Raw genomic sequence first — 8,944 nt, 5'->3', positions numbered from 1 at the left:
TGACTGCAGTCCAAGGTCACACCTTTCACAAAGGCTGTAATGGTTTGACTGACAGCCTTAGGAGAAACCCTTCATTCCTTTTGAAGCTAAGGAGGAGATTAGAGGGCTCTGTTCAAAGCACTGTGCCTCCTATCCTGGGTATCAGTGGGGCTGGCGTTTCAATGGCCTTTAGCCACTCGTCCTAAGAGCTTGTGCTCAAAGATTTAGCATGGATCTGAGGTGTCATTAGCCACTCTGGCAAGAAGACTGTCCCTTCCTCTAAGAGCTCACAGGAAGGCTGTGGCAGGTGGGGAGGTGGGGACAGAGAAGCAGGAAGCTCTGGAGCCAAACAGACTTGGGTGGCATCCGGCCCACAACACGCATCCGGCCTGTCTGCATCTCAGGCTCCTCCCCTGTGGGCGGGGAGTTACAGGATCGCTCATTTACTGACTTGCTGTGCTGAACCGAGGACTTGTGTACTAGAAAAATAAAGATGATTAAGAGATAGTCCTTGCCCTGTGGAAGCAGGGGCAATTTAGAAATGTTTGATTGTGGCCGGGTGCAATGGCTCACGCCTGTAATCCCGGCACTTTGGGAGGCCAAGGCGGGCAGATCATGAGGTCAGGAGATGGAGACCAGCCTGGACAATATGGTGAAACCCCGTCTCTAGTAAAAATACAAAAAAATTAGCCGGGTGCGGTGGCGGGTGCCTGTCATGCCAGCTACTCAGGAGGCTGAGGCAGAAGACTCGCTTGAACCCTGGGAGGCAGAGGTTGTAGTGAGCTGCGATTGTGCCACTGCACTCCAGCCTGGGCGACAGAGCCAGACTCCATCTCAAAAAAAAAAAAAAAAGAAATGTTTGATTGTTTGTTTACACAAATGGCCTTCCATAAAAGGCTTTTTAAAAGTAACAAGTAGGAACATAACTATTACCAGTGGGGTGGGACATGAAGGGGGTGATCTCCCAGTGAAATCTACAGCAGACATGAAAACCCGAACCATAATCACAGCACGTCCCCAGCCATCCCTAAATAAAACAACAAATAACCACAGACTGAGAAAACTGAGAAGCAAGGGGCTCAAGCCTCAACTTAGTCAGAAGATGTCCCAGAAATTATCCTCTAACAGGGGAGGGAGATTTATTTGGTGGGAAATGAAGTCCAACTCCAAAAACCCCATTAGCCCAGAGGTCCCTGTAGCCCTCTACCCATGCACCTGACTCTGACTTGGAGACGGCAGAGAAGTATCCCCAAAGCATGCACAGCTCAGGCTTTTCAGGGATTAATTTGCACCTCAAACATCACAGAGTGTGTGAGTTCAGAATTTGGGATTACTGAGCGGTTCAGAGGAGATGAGAATGATTCCCAACAACGCATAATTAATCATTATGTTGCAAATGACAGAAAACCCACTCAAATAATAAAGGAATTACTTGTTCAGAATCAGAAAAGTCAAGGATTAAATTAATCTCAGGCAAGGCTGGATCCAGCCACTCATGGTCATATCATGAAGAACTTTATTTCTCTATATCTATTCTTTCTCCCTTTTTTCTTTTATTTTCTTTTTTTTTGAGATGGAGTCTCGCTCTGTCACCCAGGCTGGAGTGCAATGGCAGAATCTCGGCTCATTGCAATCTCTGCCTCCTGGGTTCCAGCGATTCTCCTGCCTCAGCTTCCCGAGTAGCTGGAATTACAAGCATGTACCACCACACTCGACTAATTTTTGCATTTTTAGTAGAGACGGGGCATAGCCATGTTGGCCAGGCTGGTCTCGAACTCCTGACCTCAGGTGACCCACTTGCCTCGGCCTCCCAAAGTGCTGGGATTACAGGCGTGAGCCACAGTGCCTGGCCTCTTTCTTCACTCTTCAGTGTGAGCTTAATCATAAACTATACCTAGGAACTGCTAGCAGATCAAGTCTTCCCCTTTTGGTGGCAAAATGTCACAGTTACTTGCAAATTTCATATTCTTATGCCCTACACATGATCCCATGCAAGGGGCTTTATTTTCCCAGAAGTCCCCGTAAATAGCTGTTCATATCGGGTTTTTAAAATAATATTTTTAAAATTTTAGAACAATTTTAGATTTACAGGAAAATTCCAAAGAAAGTACAGAGTTCCCATGAACTCACACCCAGTTTCTTCCATTAACATCTTAGGTGACCATGGTACATTTGTCATGAGCTGACATTGATACAATATTATCAACTAAAGTCCACATTTATTCAAATTTCCTTAGCTTTTACCTAATGTCCTTTTTCTGCCCAGGATCCTGCATGACATCTAGTCATCGTATCACCTCAGGCTCCACTTGGCTGTAACTGTTGCTCGGATTCTCCTTGTCTCTAGTGACCTGCACCGTTCAGAGGAGGACCTGTCAGGTATTTGCAGACTGTCCCTCAGTTAGGATTTGTCTGATGTTTTCTCATGAATAGATGGGGTTATAGGTATCTGGGAGGAAGATCCCAGAGGTAGAGTGCCCTTCTCATCCCATTACGTAAGCATATATACTCTGAACACAACTTATCGCTGTTGATATTAACCTTGATCAGCTGGCTGGGGTGAGGCTTGTCAGGTTTCTCCACTGTGAAGTTACTCTTTCCCCCTGGACTCTTTGGAAGGAAGTCCCTATGTGCAGGCCACACTTCAGGAGTGGGAGCTATGCTTCCCCATTGAGAGTGAAGCATCTCCATACATTATTTGGAACATTTCTGCATGAGAGATTTGTCTACTTCTCCCTATTTATTTAATAATTTACTTATATCAGTATGGAGCATATATATTTATTTTGAACTCTGAATAAATATTTATTGATTTATTTTTATTTATAAGCTAACACTCCTTTACTTTCCTGCTCAAATTGCTCTCGCTTTGACCACAGGGAGCTCTTTCGGGTGGCTCCTGTGGCCTTTGGCCATGACCCCATGATTTGGGGTTATTTGTTTGTTTGCTTTAGCATTTCTTACTTTCTGAACTAGAAGATGCTTCAGGCTTATGTTGTATATTTTCTGCCCCAGTCCTGGGATCTGCCATTTCTCCAAGGAGCCCCGGTTCCTTTTATTGTAAGTTCTGGGCTCTAGATGTACTTGTTTTGTTGTGAGATTGGGTCTCACCCTGTCGCCCAGGCTGGAGTGCAGAGGTGCCATCTCGGCTCACTGCAACCTCTGTTTCCCGGGCTCAAGAGATTCTTCTGCCTCAGCCTCCCAAGTGGCTGGGACCACAGGTGGGCACCGCCATGCCCGGCTAATTTTTTATATTTTGGTAGTGACAGGGTTTTGCCATGTTGCCCAGGCTGATCTTGAACTCTTGAGCTCAAGCAATCCGCGTGCCTTGGCCTCCCAAAGTGCTGGGATTACAGGCGTGAGCCACTGCGCTGGCCTAGGTGTACTTGTTGATATCAAGGTGACGTTGCTTCTAGACCCTCTCAGTTAAGGGAGCAAGGAGACATTATTTGTTTTTCGTGTCTTTTTGATGTGGATTTGAGATACGCCTATTCACTGAGCCAGCCTCTGAGTCGAGGGAACATGCAGGCTGGTTAGACAATCAGAGTCTGCCCTGAGGCAGGCCAGATGACACGTTTGGACTCAAACTACAGGGCTAAGCCTACCAGTTTACCCAAGAGCGCTCAAGGTGCTGATAAGGAAGAGGGGAGATTGGTGTAGATTGGTGTTCAGCAGTAAGGACAAATATCCATTACCATGGGGGAATAATTAAATAAGAGTGGCCAGAGGCCGGGCGCGGTGGCTCACGCCTATAATCCCAGCACTTTGGGAGGCCAAGGCGGGCAGATCACTTGAGGTCAGGAGTTCGAGACCAGCCTGGTCAACATGGTGAAACCCCATCTCTACTAAAAAATATAAAAATTAGCCAGGCATGGTGGTGCGTGCCTGTAATCCCAGCTAATCGAGAGGCTGAGGCAGGAGAATCGCTTGAACCTGGGAGGTGGAGGTTGCAGTGAGCCAAGATCATGCCACTGCACTCCAGCCTGGGTGATAGAGCAAGACACAGCCTCAAAAATAATAAATAAATAAATAAAAATAAAAATTTTTTTTAAAAAAGGGGTGGCCAGAAAGAACTGCAGTTTCTTTGGCCTGATACTTTATTACAAATCCCCTTTCCTTTGGAGAAAGTGCTGGGCAGTAAGTGATTCAGGAAAATGATAAATTCTTTGAGCATCTATTCCCAAAGTCACGTGTGCAATAATGAAATATTTTTAATCTTGTCCTTCAAACCAGCGGGCTTGTCTGGTAATAGGTCCCAATTAAATCCTTTTTCTTAAATTACATTGTTGTTAAGGACTTTGTTATCTTCACAGGATATTCCCCCCCACCGCTCTCAGCCCAACCCTCTCAAAATTGCCTCGCCATCCTCCTTTCCTATTAAAAAATGGAAAATTGCACAATTCACCTAATTAGTCAAATTTGAATCTTCTGTGGCTATCACAGCCCAATGGTTGAATTTCACACACCATTTGAAAAGCTATGGTAGAAACGCCGTTGTTGATTCCTCCTCACACTCCAGTGGTACTATTCAATTACAAAAGGAATTATTTGACTTTCTGTCGCCACGATGCTCTAGCAATATGCTATTAACCTCGATTGATTTTTGCTTAAATGTATTCAAGATGGGCACATTTTTGTAAATCTAATGTGCTGGTATTTAAACGGAAATATTTCATTAAATGGATTTTCTTTTTAAATGAAATTTGCCAAATGGTTATAAATGATGGGAGATGAGTTTTGAACTTGAAGACGTGACGTGAAGGTTCTGGGAAGAGGCTTTCTGTGCCACCAAACAGGCTGGGGCACTTAGAGTGGATTTTGGGGGGAATGCACACAGCAGGGGAGGCAAGATTCTCGCCCTGCTGCGTGCCTAAGCTGGTGAACATAAAAGCACCTTCCTTGCAGGGCTGCTGGGGGCCTTGAGGCCAACACAGACCAGGGGTGTAGAGCCTTGGCAGGCAGGAAATGGTCAGCAAAGGTGATGGTGATGATGCTATGGCATCTATGAAGTATCAGTCACTCATGTCTATCATATATTATCACTATTAATGGCTTTAAGAGAAATGTTTACAATTTGGGGGAATCTCATGAAAGTATAATCTATTTTATTAACTAGAGACATAAATAAGTGAAGCCCCCTTGAGGCAGAGACCTCCCCTCTCCAATCCTGCTCTCTCTCCAGGCCTCAACTTACAATGTACATTCACAAAGATCTCTCTTTCTTTTTAAAAGCTTTTCTTTTTTTTTTCTGTTGTTGTCAGTTTGAGGGGAAGAGGAGCTTGTCAGTGTGTGTGTGTGTTTTGTTTTTGTTGTTGTTGGGTTTTTTTGATGATCAATTGCCTCTCATTGTTCTCTGGTTTAGGAAGCGTTTACCAATGAAACCAGTTCCACCCACCTGGGCATGGAGAGGATACAGTAAAATATTCTGATAGCTTTACACACACCTCCGCATCCCTCTATATCTTCTAAACACATCCCACTTTTGACTAGCTCTATCCAGGGAGGGGGACATTTATAGGAAAATTGCAGACGCCAGGTGACCCACCCCATTTCAAGTCTGTCCTTGGAATGAGGCGAGGATGGGGTTGGAGAAAGAGCCGCTTTTCAAAGTGCCCTAGAATAGGCACAACTTGAGCAAATGTGAAAATAAGTTTTAAAATGAAAAGTCAGAAGTCACGGGGATGCTGGTCTCGGACAGCCATCAGTTCTCGATGCCTGCCAAGAAAGCTCAGTTTTCCTCAGGTGTGGACAGAAAGTGGCTTCCTTCTGTATGTGGGACAGACTTTTGCTTATTCTTGCTTGATTTTTTTTTTTTTTTTTTTACTTAGCCTATCCAGTGAGCTTGAGACTTGAAGGAGCGTGGCCAACATCTTTACTGTTCTGCCACAATCCTTATAATAAAATAATTCAATAAGTTCCACCGACGGCACACTCACCCTGCACTTCACTCATGTTTAGGTAAATGGCTCCATTTATACCCAGTTAGACCAAATTCTTGGTGTGGCCATTGATTTCTCTTTTCTATAGGCTTTTATTTTTTATTTTATTTTTTATTTTTTATTTTTTAGACAGGGTCTTGCTCTGTCACTCAGGCTGGAGTACAGCGGCTGGCTCACTGCAGCCTCGACCTCCTGGGCTCAGGTTGTTACAGGAAGGGGGTCCCGATCCAGACCCCCAGAAAGGGTTCTTAGATCTTACGCAAGAAAGAATTCAGGGTAAGTCCATAGAGTAAAGTGAAAGCAAGTTTATTAGGAAAGTAAAGGAATAAAAGAATGGCTACTCCGTAGACAGAGCAGCCCTGAGGGCTGCTGGTTGCACATTTTTATGGTTATTTCTTGATGATATGCTAAACAAGGGGTGGGTTATTCATGCTTCCCCTTTTTAGATCATATAGGATAACTTCCTGACATTGCCACGGCATTTGTAAACTGTCATGGCGCAGGTGGGAGTGTAGCAGTGAGAAAGACTGGAGGTCACTCTCGTGGCCATTTTGGTTTTGATGGGTTTTGGCCGACTTCTTTACTGTGGCCTGTTTTATCAGCAAGGTCTTTATTTTATTTTTTTATTTTATTTTATTTTATTTTATTTCATTTTTTGAGACAGAGTCTTGCTCTATCACCCAGTCTGGAGTGCAGTGACACGATCTCAGCTCACTGCAACCTACGCCTTCTGGGATTAAGCAATTCTCCTGCCTCAGCCTCCCGATTAGCTGGGATTACAGGCTCGTGCCACCACACTTGGCTAATTTTTTTGTATTTTTAATAGAGACGGGGTTTCACCGTGTTAGCCAGGATGGTCTCGGTCTCCTGACCTCGTGATCCGCTCACCTCGGCCTCCCAACGTGCTGGGATTACAGGTGTGAGCCACCGCGACCGGCCCATCAGCAGGTCTTAATGACCTGTATTTTGTGCTGACCTCCTACCTCATCCCGTGACTTAGAATCCCTTAACCGTCTGGGAACACAGCCCAGTAGGTCTCAGCCTCATTTTACCCAGCTCCTATTCAACATGGAGTTCTGGTTCACATGCCTCTGACAAGGTGATCCTTCCACCTCAGCCTCCTGGATAGCTGGTAATACAGGCACGTGCCTCCATGCCCAGACAATGTTTTGTATTTTTTGTAGAAACGGAGTCTTGCCATGTTGTCCAGGCTGGTCTCGAACTCCTGGGCTCAAGCGATCTGCCCACCTCAACCTCCCAAAATGCTGGGATTACAGGCATGAGCCACTGTGCCAGGCCCCATAGGCTTCAGCCCATTTGCCAGTACTTTCTGTTGGTCACTTCTTCAAAATGCATGCAGAATTTGTGCCTCTCATTCCCTCCATCATCGCTGCCCCTCTCGAAGCTACCATCACTTCTCACCTGGACCCCAGAGCCTCTTGCTGGTTCTCCTGGGGCCCGTCCTTCTTCCCACATGCCTCCCTTGTACAGCAACATTGGCAAATCTCTCTAAGCTGGGCAGATCCCACCAGGCACCTGTCACAACCTCCAGCAGCTTCCCACCCCTCAGGGAACAAACTGCATGTCCCTGCCTTGCCACATCAGCACCTTCTCCAGCCTCACCTCCTACCCCAGCACCAGCCTCCAGCCTTGAACCTGACAACCCTGATCTGCTCTGTGGCTGTACCATTTCCTCCCAAATACCCACATGGTTCCCTCCTTCCCCCTTATCACCCTCCACCCCCAAAGGAGCATGCTGTGACCTCTCCACCTGAAATCGCATACACGACACCCTGCCATTCTTCTCAACTGTAGTTCCCTGACTGGCTTTTCCTAATAGTAGCTCATCGTTATCCACTGTAACATCAGGGGCAACACATATTAACTCATTTGCTCTTGTCGTTTACTCTTGTCAGCCCATATTATAGCTGAGAAAATTGAGGCCCGGAGAGGTCAGACAGTTTGAGAAGGGCCCTCCACCACCTGGCGTTTGGCCGCAGCGTCTGTGCTGTGAACCACCCAACACAACGTCCTTCCCGACGTTCGACGTTCTCTTCTAGGTCCATCTGTGGGCTGCCTTCCGCGACCAGGAGGGGACTTTGTCAGTTTCATTTTCAGCTGTAGTTCCGCAGGTGCAGAGCCTGGTATACAGGAGGAGCTCCTGAGTGCTTGTTGAATGAATGGCAGATGCCGTGCTAAGGAAATGACACACACTCATTCATTTCACCCTTAAAAGAGCCCTCTGGGAGAGGTGCAGTTACAGCTCCATTTTATTTTATTTATTTATTTTTTTGAGACGGAGTTTTGCTCTTGTCGCCTAGGCTGTAGTGCAGTGGCGCAATATCGACTCACTGCAACCTCCACCTCCCACGTTCAAGGGATTCTCCTGCCTCAGCCTCCCAAGTAGCTGGGATTACAGGTGCCCACAACCACGACCCGCTAATTTTTGTATTTTTAGTAGAGATGGGGTTTCACCATGCTAGTCAGTCCGGTCTCGAACTCCTGACCTCAGGTTATCCACTCCCAAAGTGTTGGAATTACAGGCGTGAGCCACCAAGCCCAGCCATAGCTCCATTTTATAGTCAAGGAAATGGAAGCCCAGGGTGGTTGTGTGGTTTGCCGTGTGAATGGTCACTGGGGTTAGAGCAGAATTGCTCAGTGAGATTCCTGACTTGGGCTCTGAACCAGGAAGCATTCTGCCCACAGGCCTGGGCCCGGGGATGCAGCATGACTTCAGTCCCTGCCCTCAGGGAGCTCCCAGTTGGGAGCAGCTGTGGACACTAGCAAACCATCTCAGAGAGGAAGGTGTTGAACCTCAAACTGAGAGAAATGGCCTGAAAAAGAAGGGCACATGGGCCCAGGAAGGGTGAGCTTTGGCAACTGAGCTAGACCAGGGGTCCCAGGGGAGTTTCCCTGCGGTCAGCACACAGGCAGGGACAGCGTGTGCAAAGATCCTGCAGCAAGAATGGGAGATGTGGTGGCTCATAAAGGGGACCAGTGTGTCAGAGGCGCGGGAACCCGAACAA

The 8,944-nt window shown here is 46.7% G+C and overlaps 1 annotated feature.

The window, feature by feature from the left end:
- Window positions 1-605: an enhancer, noted in NCBI's record as "H3K4me1 hESC enhancer chr20:55468204-55468808 (GRCh37/hg19 assembly coordinates)". NCBI's record gives its function as "activates a minimal SCP1, AML or CMV promoter by ChIP-STARR-seq in primed H9 embryonic stem cells {active_cell/tissue: H9 hESC(primed)}" and the evidence as "EXISTENCE:reporter gene assay evidence [ECO:0000049][PMID:30033119]".

The sequence above is a fragment of the Homo sapiens genome, chromosome 20 (assembly GCF_000001405.40).
Source record: "Homo sapiens chromosome 20, GRCh38.p14 Primary Assembly".
NCBI classification, from domain to species: domain Eukaryota; kingdom Metazoa; phylum Chordata; class Mammalia; order Primates; family Hominidae; genus Homo; species Homo sapiens.
Note: the sequence above shows the minus strand (reverse complement) of the source record. Positions and strands in the feature narration are given on the sequence as shown.